Below are 21,042 nucleotides of genomic sequence, written 5' to 3'. Positions count from 1 at the left end.
GGGGCCATTCCCCACCAGACACTGGGCTAAAGAAGCTGAAGCACCCCAGCAGCCTAGGGGCCCTGGCAAGAACAAAAGACACTTGGCCAAAGAATCTTCCTCCCAACAGGCACTGCCACCATTTTCCTAGTAAAATACCTACTCTAGAATTGGGAGGAAAGTGCATGAAAAGCCGTAGTATATGTCTAAGTCTATAACTGGCTTAAATCACTGGGATTTGGATTTTTTTTTTTTTCTGTAGGAAAAGCGGAATTTTCTTTTAAATATCCACCAAAACAGATGGCTGAACCTGACACTGAGGTTACTGAATACTCATGTGGGAAACATTTATTTATTCATTATCACTCAACAAAAGGTTGTTGCTTGCTGACCAGAGGCCGAGCATTAATTTCTGAGAACACAAAGAAGACAAACCTGTTCCCTGCCCTCAAGGATCTCAGAATAACTGCAGAGTGTGGGAAGTGCGGGGGGAAGGGAGCGCTCCCCCAGTGGCATCCCAGCTGGTCTGTAGGGTCAGAGACAGCCGCATGTGTACGGATAAGGTGTTCACTCGGAAACAAAAGAGCTGGCAAAGCAATGGACTACAGCCTCCCTGACAGCTAGGGAGGAGCAGCAGGACACAGCGGAGCTACGGTGCGCTTCCAGGAGTCCACACTCACCGCGGTGCACGTCTCTGTGAATGATTTTTAAGTCCTGGAGGAACAACATGTAAGAAAAAAATGGGTCCTGAGACTTACTCTGTGTGTTTGGATCTACTTCCTCCTCCTCCTCGCTGATGGCTTTTGGGGTATTTGTCCTTCTTTCTGGACTAAGAAGCTGCTCTCCAGGCTGCACTGCAACTAAAATTACAACAGAACAAAGAGAAGAATTTCTACACACTTCCATCAGTGCTTTTTATTCAACATTTTACATTTGTGCAGCCTCACAAAAGTTGAAAGGGATAGACAGACTAGCCTAGATTCCTTAGAACCAATTTTAGACAAACAGACAATACTAGACTGAGGTACCAATCTCTTGGTTAGTGGTATATGTCTGAAGATTTGAACTTCAGATTTCATTCAGATTTCTAAGTCCCTCGACTGTCTCCTGTTGGCCATCTCTCACCCTGAGGTTATTATGAGACGGCTCAAGATACTATCAAAATCATCACTATAACCTCCAAGAAGTCTGGCTTTTAAGTAGTAATCCCTGGATCTTTGTTTTCAAGTTGGCTACAAATGCACAGATGAAAACAATTATGAAACATGAAAACATCACTCTATAACATTTAATTTAAAAATACAAAGCTTCAAAACGCCCTCTAACATGTAAACTATGACGTCCAATTTTTTAAAAATTGTGGCTAATGACCCTTGTTGAGGATACTGTTCCTTGAAAAGAACAAGCCACTTTTATTTTACAGTACGTTAATATTACAATGCAGTATAAAAACAAACATTTTAACTCTGACAGAAAACAAATAATCTTCTGAATGTAATGTTATTAATCTTATGATCATATAAGACTAAATACATAAAACAGCTAAGACCAAAGATCACAGAGACATAAAGTTTAGAGGTATTTTTGATGAAAGCTGAAACTTCAAAATCTAAATAAAATGACTAAAAAAGCAAATTCCAGTTAAATTCCAGTGTAGACTCCAATATATTGGAGAGTAAGAGATGGGGCCCAGCCCTTCCTGATGCATATTTTATCTACCTCTCCATCCCCAATTCCTAGCTTAGTACCTGGCAAACAGGCAGCACAAAATAAAAACATGGTGAAGCAGACAGGAACTATGATAGGAACCCACCGTTCATGGACGGGGACTCACCGGCCTCCAGGATGAAGTGCACACAGTAGATGAGGGAGCAGGCGTGGGTCACAAACTCTGTGGAGGAGACCACGCTCCAGAGGCCAGGCAGCTGCAGGGCCAGGCAGCAGCAGTCCAGCCCTGCCTGGAGATCCAGACTCAGCGGGATCTGCTCATGGATCAAATGCCAGGACAGGGCCTAAAGGGAAGTACCGAGTCACAGAATGCCCACTCGTGTACCTTCGTTTGGGGAAGCCGTGTGAATCACAGTTGTGGAACCGTCCAAAGCACTGAGGGGCAGCGCGTCCAGGTGCCCTTGCCCTTCCAGAAGGACAGCTCTGACATGGCTCCATTACATTCAGTCCTGACCCACCTATTCCCCAAAGTGCCAGTCCCCTCTCTGCCACAAAGCCCCCTTACTCTGCTGCCTCTCTCTCCTTCAGCGCTGTGGGCTCCTGTAGAAATCTCTCCTGGGCTACGTGGCCACCAGGCCAGAGGCTCTTCCTTGGGGCTCCCACAGCACCAGGGCTTGCCTCTGTCATAGGTTGAATTTGAGAGCGTGGGTTCTAGGGATAGCAGGCCTTGGGTTCAAATGCCAGAATGGCTACTTCCTAGCTCAGAGGACCTGGGCAAGTCACTGAAATTCTCTAAGCCTTGCTTTCCTCACCTGTCAAATGGGAGTAACAGAGCCTATCTCACAGGGGGTTGTGAGAGTCAAATAAGATGACGCATATAAAGTATTTCATCCTGCATACAGCAGGCACATAATATAATCAGCAGCAATCACCCTGTGCTGTGATCACACGCTGACTTTCCCACTTCCCCACTAAGCTGAAACCTGAAGGACAGGGATCACAAACCATATGACTCCACGTGGTTCAGAATAAGGGTGTATTTATCATTTTGTGAGTAATGGCACTGATGCCCTTTGGACTCCTCCCTTTCTTTGGTGTGAGGTGGAGGCGGAGCCTCTGTGGGTCTGCAAAGTGTGTCCTTGCTGAGGGCAGGCAGCACAGCGATGGCCCTTTAAGGATACAGGCCAGACTTTAATGCATCCAGAACGTGTACACATTCTGGGGGCGAATTACAAGCACTAACACAAACCAAGTAAGTATTCCTTGGCTGACATGTCCAGGCCAACTTAAGACATAAAGTACTTCCAGATGATTATTTTTCATGTCTCTAAAATTAGGATCCACCTAACATGGTAGGTGCAGATGAGAAGGGGACCTGGCTGACCTCACAGGCCACCATGAGGAGTGGCGAGGTGAGGGTGAAGGATGGCTACAATAACTTGACGGTGACAAGACTTACTGCCAGGCTGAGATGGAAAAGTGACTGGACTGGTCAGAGATCTTGCTTTTCAAATAAAACTGCTTTACCCTCTTCAGTGTCAGCCCCATGCCCCCTCCCCACAGCAACACTGAGCTCCCGAGCTGCCTCTTACCTCAAGGGTTGCCACCACGAATTTCACAATGTCCTTCTCTTTCTCAGGAGGAAGGTGCAAATGACTGGGCAGTTTGGAGACCACCACCAGGTACTGTGCCAGGGCCCGGGCCAGAGTGGGCAGGGACTGATACAGTGCAGCATCCCCTGAAACAGAAGGACCTCGTGGGTGGGTGCAAACGTGAGCACAGATGCATCAACTTCGAAAGGCAGTCAAGCAATTCTCTGAGAATCTGATGAAAGCTCAAGACATTGTTCCTCAGTGGCACATCTACACATCCGTCCACAGGACTGCACGTGGTTTGGGGCTGCATCTCCCCTGAGGTCTGGCCCAGCCTTCCTCAAGGGCTTAGAGCCCTATGTCCATGACCATGTCAATGAATGGCAAAGTGGCAAACACACAGGAAGAAATTCTGAGCCGAGGACACCCGTGCTGCTCTTTAGCTACCTCTGTAAACGCTTTCAATGTATTAGATCCACTGCCTTTATTGTACATTTACTTGGTGCAAAGTACTATACTGGCCCTGGAATGCTTTTTAAAAATAAGATAAATTTTAATTTTAATTACCAAACAGATCATTCAACTTGCTCCAGTAGGCCGCCGGCTCTGCAGGCAGCTCGGGCTGGAAGACATGATGGACAGCAGGGAGCTGCTGCACGGTGCCGCTCACACGGGCCAGAGTCACCTCACGGGCTGCTTCAAAAAGGGCACTCTTCTGGCCACCAGAAATTTCACTCATCCCTAGGCTTAAGCATGGAGCTAGCAGGCTTAGGTTGAACTCCTGAAATCAGAGCATTAAAGGTTAACAAACAATAACAACAGATTATGAGCTTTCAATCAGGTAAGAAAAACACAACAGAAAAAAGAATAAGGCAAATGTTTCTGAGAAAATACAAATTGGTATACCATCAAAAATATTTTTAAGAAAATTCTACTCTATGCCTGTTATAAATATTTGAACAATTTCATTCAACATATGCTTAGTAAAATATATATCTGTTCTCTCTTAGTATTTTAAGTAATATTTTAATTTTTTATGCTCTTGGATTTGCTTGAAATAAAAATTTTGGTATGACAATTTTAATTCATAAAAACAAAATCAAAGCTAAAGTGTCATCCAAGACCTCAGTGATACACCAACCACCCTAAAGTTTGAAAAAGATGTTCAAATGCAGCTGAAATACGTAAAAGTAGCCATATGAATGCCAAAATTTTGGTTGGAAAAATGGTATTTCTTATGTCAATTTGGATTATGTTTTAGCAACCCTTTTGTTTAGCCATTTAAAGATTGGTGGCCGATCCTTCAGGTAAAACATCTATCTTAGTTTAATACTCAGAAAAGCATCATGAATGCCAAAAGTTGAAGCTTTCTTTTACAGTCAGAACTTTTACAGCTGTTCAAAGCCCAATTAGCAAATTTGGAAAACCTAATAAACAGATCACTAAGCAAATTTATCACTCAGTAAGTTAGCTTTCACTGCATGAATCTTAAGATAAACAATTTTAGGCCGGGCGTGGTGGCTCAGGCCTATAATCCCAGCACTTTGGGAGGCCGAGGTGGGCGGATCACCTGAGGTCAGGAGTTTGAGACCAGCCTGGCCAACATGGTGAAATCCCGTCTCTACTAAAAATACAAAAATTAGCCGGGCGTGGTGGTGCATGCCTGTTAATACCAGCTATTTGGGAGGCTGAGGCAGGAGAATCGTATGAACCCAGGAGGCGGAGGTTGCAGTGAGCCAAGATAGCGCCATTGCACTCCAGCCTGGGGGACAACAGCGAGACTTTGTCTCAAAAAAAAAAAAAAAGATAAACAATTTTAGTAAATGGATTTTGGGCTAATTCTCCTGTTGTTTTCAGTTGAGCTCTTCAGTACATCAGAACACACTGTTGTGTTGCCCTCCCCACAAGGTCTCTTTTCATGAACACCTGCCGTCACTCCCGGCCTCTACAGGCATTTGTCCTCCCAGGTGCCCACTTCCCTCCCATTTGCTGCATATCAACGCAGGGCTAAAGCACCAGGAGGTTTCTCCCGTCCTAGTAGGTCTGAGAAGAAGCCCTGCTTGGGCCATGGCTGCACCATACCCAAGAGGTGGCCCCCCCACTGCTCACAGGACCTGCCCACGGGTGAGGGACAGGGACACCAAGGCTTTGCATGGCCTCCTAGCTCTGCGCAGGGTGCCCTCTGACATCTGGGGTTGGGGGGTGAAGAACCTCACTACATCTAACAGAGGTGTGAGTAGAGGAAATCTCGCTGCATCCAAGGGTCTCTTTTACGACTAAAGATCAACTTCCAAGACACTAGAAACAAGTTATTGACGTCACGCATTACGACACTGTGTTGAAGTCTACGGCAAATACGCAACCTTGACTTCCATTCTGTCTTGGCCATGGAGCTTAGATGATAACATCCTGTGTTTGTTCCTCCAGTGGAGGCCAGATAGTTCTCATCCCAAACCATACACCCAGCCTTGGGGCCAGCTGGATTTCAAAACAACACCTCCGTGGATTCTAATGTGGCTGAAACAATGTGCTTTTCTGTCTCGATCAGCATAACCCCCATGTCCCGACCCCATCTGAAATGGAGTCCTCCCCACTTCCCGGCCCCATTCAGAGTGGAGTCTCTCCGACATCCCGTCCCTGCCCAGACTGGAGTCCCCAACATGTGTTGTCAACAAGTGGGTCACATGATGATGAGACAAATCCCACTTGGAAGTCACAAGAAAAGCTGAGGATTCCTTGCCTCCACTGCTCCCCCCGTACCGAGTTCATCATGAAGGCATTCATATCTTCAGCAGGAATCCGATTCACCAGCTCTGCACCTTCCAGCAGTGCAGAATCTGACCTGGTCCAACACTGGGATTTGACAAGATGAACGTACCAGTCCTGGGAAGAAAAAAATGGATAAGGGGAACATGATGGGCGGCGTTCAAGGGGACTTCACATCCCTGGAGCTACAGGCCTAGGCCAGTGCTTGGGAACACCGCACTAGGCTGAGAGGGCTGCCGGCCGGCAGGCTGTGGCTATACGGCTCACCACACCACAGGTTTTCCCCTTTGGACTTCTGTTACCTGCCTGGGCACCCTCACAGCCTCCCCCTTCACCTGGTGAACTTCCAATAGGCCTTCCAAATATAGCTAAACCACTAAGGGTTAGCGGCCCCTTTGCCATCCTCTCCTGGGTTGTCTGCTTTACTCATCTCTCCCCAGCAACCAGGGCAGGGCAGGTGCTTAGCGAATAGAGCCTAAGAAGGCAGGACTGAACCTTCGCTTTCTTATACTTGGGCTGCTGGTTTTTGAAATCTAAATTCATATTCATAAGCTGAACTTTGTCCAGGAAAGTAGAGTACCAAGGCTCTACCAAGGCTCTACCAAGGCTCCAGGTGGTCCCTAACCATGAGGTATGAGCAGTGGAGGTGCTGACAACATACCAGAATGGCTGGCAGTGGCAGTGCAACTCACAGGTGGCCAGAAGGTATGAGGAGATGGAGGGAGGCTAACGGCATTGACATGTGCTTGAAGGCCTGTGCAGTCAGGGGCCTGCAGGCCACGGCCGACTATTCCTTGATTCACCCACTAACTACTCACCCCACACTCCTACCAAAAGGGTCCCACATCAGCACTGCTTGGCTCCCTCAGACCTTGATGGCCCCCCACGTCTCTAACCACAGCTTCACTGAGCCGAGCCGAGCGCCAGAACTCCTTGGGTCCACGGCACCTCCTCTGCACTCTCTGTATCTGCCACAGGTGACAGAGGCACTCAGCGCCCTGTGCCTCCCATGCAGACACGCTGGACACTTACTTTGTCCGGACTCACTGTTTCCAGTGACACGTGCCCATCCCCGTCCAGCGGGTGGGAAGAGACTGGAGGAGAGGGACTAAGTGAGTCTTGCATGGTGGAGAGACGAAACCTGTCCAGCAGGGAATAGAGCCTTTGGTGTCTAAAATACAAATAAAAATGAAATTACAGTATAATTTGTTTTTTTTTTTTTTTAGTCTTAGTCTAAACTCTGCACACTAGGATTCTAGAAATATACACTCTAAGGAGATGCACTATTAGTGGCTTCTTAAAGGAAAATACACTTGTTTAAACCTTTTTCTTCACAGCTATCTTCTCATCAATACTCAAACAGGTCATGATACAAATGCAGGCCCTAGTTTACTTTTAAGTATCACAGTTTGTACTCCATTAATATTTTCCAGAAATTTCATTTATACTCAAACACTGCAACAGGCAATACACAGTATAAAAGCTAATAAAGGCTTTCTTAATAAATGTAAAACAGATCATCTAAGACTCAAATGCACAAATTCCACTATCAAATATCCCAGTAAGACAACTGATAGGAATTCATGGTCATTTCAAAATAAAATCACCTCATCTGGCACAAGATATTTATAATCTTTTAATCTCCCTCATCTGGACTGAAGACTAAGTCTAGGGTCAAAAAGTAATAATAGTTTATCTCCCGCCATCTGCTATGAGAGTGACAACTTCATAATGCAAATTACAAAAGAGCTTGGCCCTACAGACTGAAAAATCATCCCAAACTGTCCACCTAATTGTGCCCAATCCCATTTAAAAACACCATCAACAAGGTACTCTAAAGACTGAAAAGCATAATAGACAAGGTACTCTAAAGACTGAAAAGCATAATAATTTTTGTGTGTTTTTCCTTTTTTGCAGTTTCAGCTCAAAGTACACAGCATGATAATTATATTCTCCTTCTCTGCTGTCTCTCTCTCCCTCTCACACACACAATCCCTGCCCCCCACCCCGCCCCGCAAGGGAAGGAAAAAGGTAAAAGTTTAACTTATTCTGCAGTCATGGAAATACACTCACATAGGAGATGTAGGGATTTCTGACAAAGGCTTCTCAAAGACTTTGCAAACACAACTAAATGATTAAATGCTTTGAAGACATAAAATGGCAACAGGATGCAGATGTAAGTCCTGCATGCCAAGGATTGAGTAATGTCTCTCAGATTTGCCAACTCTTGTTTAGCAATTAGATGACATGCTTTGATTTTGCTAAGATAAACCTGATAACCTATTTTCCCACTCATCACAGGACAGTGAATACAGGCATTCTAAATGCTACCTCTCAAACAGCCACCAGGAGTGCAAACTGCCTCCACTCACGTCACAGACGTGATCCTGCCGGTCATCCTTTACTCTTTAGAAAGTGAGATCTGGTTGTTTTAAAAGTAGGAAGGTTCTATTATGGCACTTCTGCAGTAAACCCACCTATAAGGCACATCGATTTCTTGTCCTGTGAATTTATTCCCGTACAAATCTATATCCTTTATATCCTGGGTTGTCCTAACACAAGGACGACCTGTGTTTCCAGCATTACCTCTGAGCGAGCCCGCTGCTCTGAAGGTATTCCTGGATTCTGTTGAGTTCTTCCATTGGCAACTGGGCCATGCTGCTCTAATAGACAAAAACACATTAGTGTGTTTGTAACACCTAACAACCCAAAATAACCTCATGCTCATTTAAAAAGGATGAACTGATGTGTACAGTTCATCCTAGTAAGGGCAGACTAGAAAAAAATACAAGAAACAGTCAGATCGGACACACGAGTAACGGCAAGTTTGCAGATGTTTCCATGTTTCTATCGGTGACCATGTCAAGACCATACTTACGGAGGAAAAAGCCAGCCACCTGTTTTGCTTGGCCTGCTAAATTTTCAATATAAATCAATATCAGGGTTTCTCTTCCCAATACCTGTAAATTTGCAGCCAGAAGCATTTCTACCCGGCGACAAGCAAGGATGTCGACCATGCGAGCCAGCACACGGAAAGGGGTGCACAGAAGCCTGTCCACATACAGCGTGAGCACAGCTCCCGACTGGCTGAGATGGATCCCCTCCAAGCACTGAAGAGTTTTCTTCAGCATGGTTGGCTAACAGCAAGAAGGAAAAGAACAAAAGATGACTATTTTGCAAATCAGAAATTAAAGTTAAAAATTTCAATACTCCATTTTTAAGGCAGGGAAAACTGCAACTGGCAATAGTCGGCAGGATGAAGACGTACAGTTGAAAGGTTTTCACAACGAGACTGAATTGCCTGGATGAACAGGCCGCTGGCAGCAGAGTTCCGATGAACGGCACTGATGAAGTCCTGTACTGGAGGCTCGTGGGAAAGGCTGATCAGATCTTGAATGTGATTTACAATGAGCCACGTTAAGTGCTCGGAGTCATGGAGGTTCTGACACTAAGGAAAAATATGATGAGAGATTCATTTTCAAGTACACAAGAAGAGACCAGGTATTAATGCCATAGAAAGGCCAGAAAGGGTAAGAAGGAGAAAACACATCCCAAATATAAACCTCACTAAAAATATACAGTGTATGAGCACAAATAATTGAGGAGGTAGGAAACTCGATTTACCAAGGCCGTCACCTCCAACCACGCACTGCGGCAGAGGCTGTGTGAAGTTAGGCCCCCTGGGGAAGTAGGGTACAGCAGTCCAGCTCTCAGAGACACTAACAAATGGCCAAGGGTCAAAGGACAAAGGCAGGCCTCAGCGAGATCCGCAGGTAGCAGGGGCAGCGTTGCGCTGGGATGACCCCATCCACAGCACTGCCTGCCCTCTCCCGGGCTTCGGGCCGGCTAAGCCAGTGGGGTTCTCCAATTACTCTTTTTCCAATTTTGTGATAGTTCAGTGGGAAAAAAAGAATCCCCTATCACTGCCACAGTTTTGACAGAACTGTTGAATCCAAAATATGAATGGATCCCACATATCAAATAAATCTTAAGTGTAGATATTTAAGATTTATAAGAAAATAAAAATATATATTTTTAAACATGCAGAGCCTTTTCATCTTGATTCATAATCCTAGGCAGAAACTGTAAAATGTGATCAATTCCTTGATATTTGGTTAACGATTAATATTTTTCATTTGGGATCATCTGACAGTACAGGTTGAATAACCCTTATCTGAAATGTTTGGGATCAGAAGTATTCTGAATTTAGGATTTTTTTCAGGTTTTGAAATATGTGCATTATACTTATTTGTTGAGCTCCCTAAATCCGAAAATCTGAAACCTTCCAATGAACATTTCCTTTGAACATAATGTCAGCACTCAAAAAGCTTCAGAATTTGGAGCATTTTGGATTTCAGATTTTTGGATTTGGGATGATCAAACTTTATTAACTTATAAAATTAGTATCTTTTTTCTTATATTTCTGTGAAAAACAGCATTATAAATTATATTATCCTTAAAAGTAGAACAAAATAGAAAAACTACTTCAATAGAGAAAGTAAAGCAAAAAGTGACTATTAATAAATTGTCATCACCAGAAAAAGTCTCTAGGATAACACCTCTTTCAGTTGGAGAGTCGGCTTCCTTTTCTGATTCAGAATATTTAACACTGTTTTGCTATGTGACAGTAGTATCTATAAGATACCATGTTTGTGACAAAGAAATGCATATGTTTTAAATATTTTTAATATAAATATAGAAAAAGTATTAAATCTAGACCAAAATCTAACAGCAAGTTATCTCTGAGTAGTATGATTACAGGAGGTTTTATTTTCCTCCGTTTATTTGTTTTTTTGTAAATTCTCCATGGTAAATATGTGATGCTAGTTTTATGGTTAAAAACTCCCACAAGTTATTTTTTTTTCTTTAAAGAGAACGGCATTTAAACAGGAATCCATCATAAAATGTGACAAAGAACATCTAACACCTTTTCTACAAATTAACTTAAAAAAATTATTTTAGAGCAGGGGTCTCGCCTTGTCACCCAGGCCGGAGTGCAGTGACACAGTCACAGCTCACTGCAGCCTCAAACTTCTGGGCTCAAGCAATCCTCCCTTCTCAGTCTCTCAGGTGGCTGGGACCACAGGCATGCACCACCACGCCAGGCTAATTTTTCTTTCTTCCTCTCTTTCTTTTTTTGGTAGAGGCAGGGTTTCTCTGTGTTGCCAGGCTGGTCTCGAACTCCCAGGCTCAAGCCATCCTCCGCCCTCAGCTTCTCAAAGAGCTGTGATTACAGGCACGAGCCACCACACTTGGATAATTTTTTATTTTTTATTTTTTTAGAGATGGGTGTCTCACACCATAGCCCAGGCTTGTCTCAAACTCCTGGGCTCAAGTGATCTTCCTACCTCAGCCTCTCGAGTTGCTGGAATTTAGGCATAAGCCACTGCTCCTGGTATTAATTTTTAAAAAAATTTAAAATCAGAACCCCACTACAGTCAATGCACTTACTTTGTTTTTTAAATCATTAGTTATTATTATTCCATTGCTTCCCTCAAATTAACAAACATACCCAGCATCATGTAGGCGTGAGCCAATAGCCGGGCATTTGATAAATGAGTCAGCTGCAAAAACTCTCACAGTCCAACTTAGAATCCAGTGACTGGAAGGCCAGGCCTGGTCTCCAATTATATGTCACAGCAGAAGTAAACATTCATTCTAGATTTAGTTTCGATGGAGCTTGGCAGGACACCGGGCGGTCTGGGTTCCAGAGGGTCCATGCAAGTGTCATCTACACAGGATGTTCTCCTGGTCCCCACCTCCCTCAACCCCGTTTACAGGCATTTCAAACTTACGACATAATCACAGAAGAGAATGAGAGCCCCTCTTCGTACTATTTCTCTATTGCACATTCCAAGTTTGGCTGCCAAGTCAGAATCCTCCTCTTCTCCAGACATCTGGGGACTAAGTAACTTTGTGCTGGACAGACTGTGTCTTCTAGAAGGAGCAACAGATGCATTGACAATGTTTCTGGATGGCAGTGAGCTTATTTGCAAAATACTGAAGATGATTATGTTTAATTCTAGTTCTAAAACAGACAAGTTGTTTTAAATATTGCCATATCAGAATGTTGTATGTGTAATATATACTCTCAGTTATCTATTCCTAAGCTACAATAAACCACATATGAAAAACTAAAGAAAACAGAATTTAACAGGCAGAAAATTAAAATGCTTGCCTGAATAGCAAAATCCACCATAAAGCTGCACATTCAATCAGCACCTTTATTTCAGAACTCACACTGGCTATGTTTGATAATTGAGCAATTGCTTTTGAAATTCTCCATCTGCCGTGAAAGTTGCCAACTGCCAGAATGAAAACCTCCCTGCTTTCATGTTTTACTGTTCGTTTCCCAATGAAACATCACCACTCTAAACATGTTGATGTTATACGTTATGGAAATCCTGTTTAAAAACACTTCTTCCCCACTAACACAGGTTATTTCACTCTACACTGACTTCTCACTTTATTGTTTTTTTCTTTTTGAATACGTGGGAATTATAAACCTTGAGACTCTTGGCTCTAGTCCATACAGTTAAAATGTTGACACACTCCCAAACTGCCCCTCTGACCTTCAGGGTCTGACCGAGCGACGTCCTTCCCATTGCGGCAAAGGGCCTTAACGGGGACAGAGGTCACATCAAGCTAAGAATATTCTGAAATACAACAACTTTTCCTGTAATCCCTCAGGATTTAGAAGAGAACTGGTAAAAACCAAAATTCTACAGATTTAAACTTTTTAAAAAGTGCCTTTTCTCTGTTTCCCAACTGGTGAAGTGAAAACAAACTACAGCCTAGCCATACAATGCTCAGCAGTTGCAAGGAGCGAGCCACCGACGCGTGGGCAACACGCGACAGAACTTTAGACACTGCTCACCGAAAGGGGCCAGACTCAGAAGGCTGCACACCGCGTGGTTCCGTTTCTTTCTTTTTTCCCCAGAGACAACGTCTTGCTGTGTCACCTAGGCTGGAGCACAGTGGCACGATCATAGCTCACTGTAACCTCTAACTCCTGAGCTCAAGTGATCCTCCTGCCTCAGCCTCCCAAGCAGCTGAACTACAGGGACGTGATTGTAATTTTTAAATTTTTTTTTTCTGGAGATGGGGTCTTGCTAGGCAGCCCAGGCTAGTCTTGAACTCCCAGCCTCAAGTCATCCTCCCACTTCAGCCTCTCAAAATACTGGGATTACAGGCATGAGCCACCACACCTAGCCTATAGATTCTATTTCTATGGCCTTCTGCAATGGGCTGAACAGAGGGACAGAGCACGGATTGGTGGTTAGACCTGGGGAGGGGCAGGATGTGGCAGAGGAAGAGGGAACTGTTTGAAGTGACAGCACTCCTCTATATCTTGATGTGGTTGGGGGAGGGGGGCTGTTACTGACTACAGTTGATAGAAAAGTACATTTTACTGTATTGTAAATTATGTGTCAATGTGAAAACTAACGAACAGGAAACGTGCCCTTTCTCAGTGGGCCGTCCTGCCAGCGCAGTGTGACTTACACTCAAGCTGTAATTGTGCACTTTGCAATAATACAGCTATAGGGTAATGAGCCTCTGAAAGAGAAGAGGCAGTATTTGCAATTCAAATATGAGCAGTAGACATAAAGAAGGTCCACTGTCAACTCAAATTCAGCCCCAATTTGTAGCAGCACAAGCCCCCCCAAATCTCAGGCCATACACCGCCCGGTACTGGTGGCGAATGAATGTCCCAAATCTAGGGTGACTCAGAACAAGATGAGCTGGGAAGTGACCAACACATCATGTGTACCACAACACACCCACAAGCGCCAAAGTATAGGCAGGACTCTAACAGTTCACCAAGAGGTAAGACAGATTGAGAGTGAATCATAAACCCACAGTGACAGAGTCCATAAGAGAGGGGCTAGGCTAGGGCAGGACCCACATAAGGACCTCCTGGAGCAGAGCACCCAGTGTCGCCTGGAGCCAGCTCCCATCTGGGAGCCAGCCTGAGAGGAGATGCACACAAACCGAGAGAGGGTCAAGAGTAAGCAGCAGGAATTTCTGCAACTGGATACAGCAATTTTATGGCTGCTGAGTCTATGGCTAAAAAAAGAGCAGCTGTGTTTTGTATTTCACACTTCTAGTAATTCATTTTTCTCATCTCATGGAAATAAAAAGATACTCATCCCCCACCACCCACAGCTGGAAAAACACAGTGCTAAGAGCAGGGGTTTAAACCAGAACAGCTCTGCTCTCTATGGGCATCTTGGACACTTATGGGGATTTATTTTTTCCTTCCACCACGGGGACACCTTAGACACTCACATGCTTGTTACATATTATCTTAATTTTACCTTTACATTACCATTAAAGAACGATATTTTTTGAAATTTAATTATTAGGTTAAAAATCCATTGATCCATTAATTTTTTTTTTTTTTTTTTTTTTTTGAGATGGAGTCTCACTCTGTCACCCAGGCTAGAGTGCAGTGGCGCGATCTCAGCTCACTGCAACCTTTTCCTCCTAGGTTCAAGCGATTCTCCCGCCTCAGCCTTCTGAGTAGCAGGGACTACAGGCACCTGTCACCATGCTCGGCTAATTTTTGTTATTTTCAGTAGAGACAGCATTTCATCATGTTGGCCAGGCTGGTCTCGAAGTCCTGGCCTCAGGTGATCTGCCCGCCTTGGCTTCCCAAGGTGCTGGGATTATAGGCATGAGCCACCACGCCCAGCCTAATCTATTAATGTTATTTCAGGATAATAGAAGGAACAATACAGAAGGTTATAAAGGAAAACTGGATCAGAGGGGGTCACGAAACAGTCACAGAATTTACCTACATTTACAAAAAGCTGTAGTTTGCCCTCAGAGGGCTGAATGAAGACGCTTGCTGAATTCCAAACTAAATTTACCTTTGGTTTATTTCTTTTAAACACTCATCATCTAAGCATTTCTGTTACTCCAATTCAGGGGACACAATTCCCAGATTCAGAGCTTTCTGATATAACATCAGAGTAAGCAGGCCCATCTGTCAGAAAAGGAGTGATCTGCTGAATCCGCAGCTGATTTCTATGCACGTTAAAGCAGCACAGAACTAGGAGACACTGACTTTCTGTCTCCTGCCCCCACAGTGCTCAGTCATCGTAACAGGCCTAAGACATCCACCAAGCATTTCAAATGTCGTCACTGGTCTGTCTCCTCCAACAGAATGACCAGACCCCACTACATACGGCACAGAGTGGATGGTTAAGAATGCCTCCCAACAGTGGACTTTCCAGCTGAGTGCCATGAACTGGCCCTACTGGGAGCCCTGGCAGCACAAGGTCCAGTATCCATACTGAGCAGAGAGGCACGGCAGCACCTGCCCTCTTTTGTCTCCAGAACTTCTTTTCCCCAGCGTGGGATCTTGAGCCTTCCAGAAATACTGTGCTGAGGATTCAGCTGGGCGGGGGCCAGGGTTGGGGGTGGTCACAGCTTTTATTTCCATACATATACAAATAATGGAGTGTTGGAGCACCTAGAAATGGAGCTTAAGCCTGAAAACCTTTTGCAAAAAGAGGGCCACCCATAACGAGAACCTTAGTAAGCCTTTTTGAATGGTAAAATAACATTTCCAAGAGGTTTTGAAATTTGCTACACTGTTACTTCATTATCTAAGGATAACCAGAACCACATTTACTTTATAATGAGGTTAAGACATTGCAACATGTCTGGCTATGGAACCAATTTAAGGACTAGAACTTAGTAGGAGCCACAGAGCATGACAAGCATATCCCACAAGATGCAATGGTGTCAAAGAACCTGCCAAAGAAAATCGCATTTAGAAAGCAACTGCTATTTTGAATGCCTTTAGCTGGACCGCATGTTTGTCCCAATAATATGCTGTCCATGAAAGGAATATTAATATGCAGCAGAAATTTCACAAGCCCTCACAAAAAATGGAAAATGAAAATGCTTTAACGGTGGCCAAAGCTCAGGTTACTGGGAGTCTCAGGACAGGGTGCTGGGCTGGCGCCCTGGGCTGTGGGGCATTATGAACCTACTTCGGGGTCTGCTGCACTTCTGCCCACCAGCGGTAGTCGGTGTGGTTGACAAGCAGCAGTATCTGACACCAGAGCAGCACCAGGGCCGGGTGGGTGGTGATCATGGAACGAGCCCGCAAGTTCAAGCTGTCCAGGGTGTAGAAACTGCCGCCACAGCCATCACTGCGGAACAGCCTAGTGGCAGCTGCTGTGATTCTCCGGAACATTCCTAGAAACAAAGTTAAGGAGAAATGTCTTTGCTTTCATCTCGGTCCAGTGCCACATGGCTACGCGAAGATTTTACATAAAAATGAAACAGGCTGAGTCGTCTCCCATACTTACGTATTCAGAACACCTGGCATTTAGAAAATTCTGATTTTTCTAAGCAGAAACAGATATCCTACTTTTTTTTTTTTTTTTGAGATAGAGTTTTGCTCTTGTTGCCCAGGTTGGAGTGCAGTGGCGCAATCTTGGCTCACTGCAAACTCCACCTTCCGGTTTCAAGCTGTTCTCCTGCCTCAGCCTCCCAAGTAGCTAGGATTACAGGCGCCTGCCACCACGCCCAGCTAATATTTGTATTTTTAGTATAGAGGGGGTTTCACCATGTTGGCCAGGCTGGTCTTGAACTCCTGAGCTCGTGATCCACCCGCCTCAGCCTCCCAAAGTGCTGGGATTAAGGCGTGAGCCGCCGTGCCTGGCCAATATCCCACTTATTTAATGGACTGGTCAAGAAAGCTAGCATTCCTCCTCTCTCACTGTCGACCTCCACATTGGTCGGCAATGCCAAGCCCTCCAGGAGCTCCAAGCCAAGAGCTGCGAAAGTCTGAACACAGCTCCTGGAGAAGGAGTCAGGGAACACTCAGCGCCTCGAATCACTGCACTCGGGCCACAGCGGGGCCCCCACAGGACTGAGCCACAGCTACACAGGCAGGAACAGCACTCGGCACCTGCCAAACTCAACAGCTCCTGGGCTTGCTAAGGACTGAGGGACAGAAATGCTGAAGGAGGCCAGGTGAGAAAGCAGGACCCCCCTGCGGTCCAGGCTCTGTGTGCCCTCTGCAGGCTCCTGACACCTGACAGCCAAGTGGCCTCTGTGCCCGGCCATGGAGCATCCTGGGCCTAGGCAGGCCAAGCGGTCAGCCTCCCCACACACAATGCTGGCACCTCAGCAACACACTCAGCTAGATTCTACCGGCAAATTTCTCCACAGCATCCTTCTCAGGGCTCCAGGAATCATGACTTCATTCTATCCTCTCCTTTGGATAAACAAGGTCAAAGGCACAGAGACATGCACAGGCTGCAAAGCCCAGCAGGGAGAGGCAGCAAGACTTGGGAAACAGAGAAAGGCCCAGCTGGCCAAGGCCACCCTCTCCCCCAGATCTGGGCTGCCTGGCATCACTGTTGGGATCAAAATTTTATTTCTGATTTAAATTTCAGGCCGGGTGTGGTGGCTCACGCCTATAATCACAGCACTTTGGGAGGCCAAGGTGGGCAGATCACTTGAGGTCAGGAGTTCGAGACCAGCCTGACCAACATGGTAAAACCCTGTCTCCACTAAAAATACAAAAATTGGCCGAGTGTGGTGGCGGGTGCCTGTAATCCCAGGTATTTGGGAGGCGGGAGCACAAGAATTGCTTGAACCCAGGAGGCAGGGGCAGCAGTGGCCAAGATCGTGCCACTGCACTCTAGCCTGGGCAATGGAGCGAGACTCTATCTCAAAAAAAAAAAAAAAAAAAAAAAAAAAATCAACACATCCCCAAAGTGAAAGGGTCCTAAAACAGGTAAAAACAGAGTACAGGCTTTTTAGGGCTCCACAATGCCTTAAACTATAACCTGAGACCAAGGAAGCGAGCTAACAGAAGCAGCACACTCAGAGAATGCAGACCAGGTCACGACGAGGAGTTCTAATGCCTTGTCTCTGGCTCCTCCAGGTTTCCTGGGATTTCTCTACACTTGCTTCCTGGTCAGCATTGTCCCCTCCAGCCCATTCTGCACTGGCCTCATCCTTCTGTGGGGCCCTCTGTTCCTGCATGGGCCCCCTGAGTGAAGAGGCATGCACTGCCTTCAAGGAAGATGCAGCCAGGCCACAGAGCACGTGCAGGGACAGACCCGGGATGTAGGGGTTTTGAACAGGTAATAGAAACCCACAATCCAAGCTGTGTTCTAGGTGGCTGAGTGTCAACACAGGCTCTGAATCAGACTGCCTGGTTCAGATCGTGGCTCTACTGTCTACTACCTGGGTGACCTTGGATGCACCTTACCTGGGGCCTCAGCTTCCTTAGGTGTAAGATGGAATTAAGAGCAGTATCTGTTCGCAGGGCTGTAATAAGGAGCAAACAGGAGAACCCAGGTAAAGGGCTCAGCACTGCACAAGGCATGGAGGAAGTACTCAGCCCCCGGGGTGGCAGCTGCTGGAGCCTATTAGGGAAGTTCAGGTGGAAGATGAGACGGACTCTGAGGGCCACCTCCTAGTAGATAGAGAGGAGGAGGTAAGGTTAGGGTTCCTGGGGTAGCGGGAGGAGGAACATACTATGATGCTGGGATTCTGAACATCCCTAATGATCTAATTAACAAGAAGAGGCCCTGGAGAGTGACAGTGGTGCTAGTTCAATTTTAAGTGCAAGTCTGAGGTACTGGCAGGACAAGTCCCGTGTCGAGAAGCTGGATGCCAGGACTACAAGGACCAGCAAGAGAAAGTTGTCCATGAGAGCAACAGCCAAGGTCACAAAGGGGATGGACCTACCAAGGCCAAGGAGAGAGGCAGAAACACAGAGAAAACAGTAACGAGAGACCATGGACAGCAACTCGAGGAACACAATCAATTAAGTGGCTAGACAGAGAAGACCCCACAAGCTACTGAGTGACAAGAGGGCAGCTCCACAGAATCAAGCTGGAGGGCCTAGGATGAGAGAGACCTAGAAAGAAAGAACACAGGCAGCCTCTGCAAAGGCCTTTTTAGTAAAGAGGGCAAGAGGCAGGCTGCCATGGCTTGAGAAACAAGAGGGAAACAAACCACCATGGGCAATGAGAATGGAGTGTACACAGAGGGAGGGACCCCTCATGAAGGAAGCAGGAGGGCACAGGAAGTGCTGGTTTGTTTTTCATTTAAGGCTGGCTTAGTGTGGCTGTTAAGTGTAAAAGAGCAGCTACAGGCAGGAAAGGAAAGGTAAGACATACATGTTTCGCTACGGTGAAGTATGCAATGGATTTTTTTTTTTTTTTCAGACAGGGTCTCACTCTGTTTGACCAGACTGGAGTACAGTGGCACGATCACAGCCCACTGTAGCTTTGGCCTCCGGGGCTCAATTGATCCTCCTGTCTCAGGTTCCTGAGTAGCTGGGAGTATAGGTGTGCGCCACCATGCCCAGCTAATTTTTGTATTTTCTATAGAAACAGGATTTCAACATGTTGCTCAGGCTAATCTCAAACTCCTGGGCTCAAGCAATCTGCCCACCTTGGCTTCCCAAAGTGCACAGGATTACAGGTGTGAGCCACCACACCTGGCCTGCAATGGATATTTTTAAATAAGCATCAAAGGCAAAATTCAATTCCAGAGAATCCAGAAGGATGTGGCGTCAGGAAGCAGACATAAGAGGGGCCAGGAAGCCGGCAGGAGGATGAGGATGAACTTGGGGACAGGATAGAAGGTCCCCTGTTCCGCTGGGATGTTATGAGGAACCCAGGGTCCCTTCCAGGTGGAGGGAGGAACAACTGGACAGAGGCTCATGAGAAGGATTCATCACTCTCTCTGCGGAGAGCAAGGCAGACACCTGCTGGGCATGGTGTGGGCATATCAGAATAGCAAAAGCTTTAGAAGGCATGGCACTCGCTGCAGCTCATTCTGAAGCCACCACTAATCCCATGGTGACACCCGCCTGGTCCCCTCCTTCCAAGGGTTTCCCTGACTTTCCTCATCCTGGAATCACCTGTTTTTATCCTCACAGAAAACACATCAGAGACCACAGTGCTGCTGCTGGGAAGCAGCAGGACGACGTCTCTCAGTCCCCTTTTACAGGGTGGGGCTGTGACCTGTCACCACGAGAGAACACCAGCAAAGGCATGCCTGTCACTTATCCAAGGCCACAAAGCCTTCTTTACCTTCCCTCTCCTTGTCCCCAACCAGACACAGAGGATGTGAAGGCCTGGAGAACAGAACCAAAAGAAGGAAAGGAGCCTGGGTCCCCGAATTCCCACATGGAGGAAAACCATCCGTGAACCAAGAACACCCTCAATACATTGTCATAAAACCAAGAAACAACCTTCTCTGGTGTGAAGCCATGGAAATGTTGGTTTATTTGTTACAGTAGCTACCATTACCTAACAAAGACAACAGTGGCACTGAGAACGTGGCTGAGATGAGAAGATGCTTCTCGGTGGAACCTCCCTTCCTAGGGTCCCGAGTAGTGATGAGCAGCAGTCTGAGACAGAAAGAAGGCAGAGCCTGTGGATCACAAGGGTGGCACAGGGGAGCCAAAGGGACTCAGGGGAAGAGAAAGGGACCAAGTGCCCGGAGACCACGATGGCAGTGCAGGAAAGGAGGCGGGCAGGAAGGCGGATGCAGGCTGCACCCAGAGAAACAGCTACAGCTGCACGCAGCAGCTCCGCAAGCCGTGTTTTTGTGAGCTAAACAAAGAAATATTAAAAGGAACAATGGAAGCAGGAATTGGAAATAAAGAATGCTGTTTTCAAAACAGGCAGGATGTGGGATCGCATCCCAATTCCACCATCGAGAGCTCCTAGGGCAGAAACCTCTCTGGGCTGGGCTTGTTCAGCTATGACACAGAGAGAACCATCTCTTCTCCACGCCACACAGTGACTGGGGCCCATGGTGGGTATTCTGAAAGTGGCAGCGGCTACACTCACCACTATCAACCCAAGAAGTGGCCTGATGAGAGAAAGATCGATGGGCAAGAAAGAATGCTTGGGTTTTCATTCTTGGTTTTGGCACAGGATCTTTTAGAACTTAAGCACAAAGCGGGAAATACTTCACAGAGCAGTTCTAAGAATTAACTGGGATAATTAAAATTAAACCTACCACATACCCATGAGAAAAT

General features: G+C 46.0%; 1 protein-coding gene across 2 annotated transcripts in view, besides 4 other annotated features; it reads right to left on the bottom strand.

The window, feature by feature from the left end:
- HTT (huntingtin) overlaps window positions 1-21,042 on the bottom strand; it is a 169,280-nt gene that overhangs the window by 28,012 nt on the left and 120,226 nt on the right. For both annotated transcript variants that reach the window (NM_002111.8, NM_001388492.1), the window contains 11 exon segments: window positions 738-839; window positions 1,814-1,991; window positions 3,240-3,385; window positions 3,807-4,020; window positions 6,000-6,122; window positions 7,038-7,176; window positions 8,592-8,668; window positions 8,966-9,142; window positions 9,274-9,453; window positions 11,801-11,942; window positions 16,010-16,217. In NM_002111.8, coding sequence (NP_002102.4) covers window positions 738-839; window positions 1,814-1,991; window positions 3,240-3,385; window positions 3,807-4,020; window positions 6,000-6,122; window positions 7,038-7,176; window positions 8,592-8,668; window positions 8,966-9,142; window positions 9,274-9,453; window positions 11,801-11,942; window positions 16,010-16,217 — 1,686 coding nt within the window.
- Window positions 1,497-1,997: an enhancer, noted in NCBI's record as "H3K4me1 hESC enhancer chr4:3215679-3216179 (GRCh37/hg19 assembly coordinates)". NCBI's record gives its function as "activates a minimal SCP1, AML or CMV promoter by ChIP-STARR-seq in primed H9 embryonic stem cells {active_cell/tissue: H9 hESC(primed)}" and the evidence as "EXISTENCE:reporter gene assay evidence [ECO:0000049][PMID:30033119]".
- Window positions 1,998-2,498: an enhancer, noted in NCBI's record as "H3K4me1 hESC enhancer chr4:3215178-3215678 (GRCh37/hg19 assembly coordinates)". NCBI's record gives its function as "activates a minimal SCP1, AML or CMV promoter by ChIP-STARR-seq in primed H9 embryonic stem cells {active_cell/tissue: H9 hESC(primed)}" and the evidence as "EXISTENCE:reporter gene assay evidence [ECO:0000049][PMID:30033119]".
- Window positions 9,573-9,867: an enhancer, noted in NCBI's record as "tiled region #10599; HepG2 Activating DNase matched - State 5:Enh". NCBI's record gives its function as "activates a minimal TATA promoter and a strong SV40 promoter by Sharpr-MPRA in HepG2 cells {active_cell/tissue: HepG2}" and the evidence as "EXISTENCE:reporter gene assay evidence [ECO:0000049][PMID:27701403]".
- Window positions 12,793-12,892: a silencer, noted in NCBI's record as "silent region_15201". NCBI's record gives its function as "represses an Ori minimal core promoter by ATAC-STARR-seq in GM12878 lymphoblastoid cells {active_cell/tissue: GM12878}" and the evidence as "EXISTENCE:reporter gene assay evidence [ECO:0000049][PMID:35858748]".

The sequence above is a fragment of the Homo sapiens genome, chromosome 4, assembly GCF_000001405.40.
Source record: "Homo sapiens chromosome 4, GRCh38.p14 Primary Assembly".
In the NCBI taxonomy this organism is placed as follows: Eukaryota; Metazoa; Chordata; class Mammalia; order Primates; family Hominidae; genus Homo; species Homo sapiens.
The sequence above is the reverse complement of the archived record's forward strand: the minus strand, read 5'-3'. Positions and strand labels throughout refer to the sequence as shown.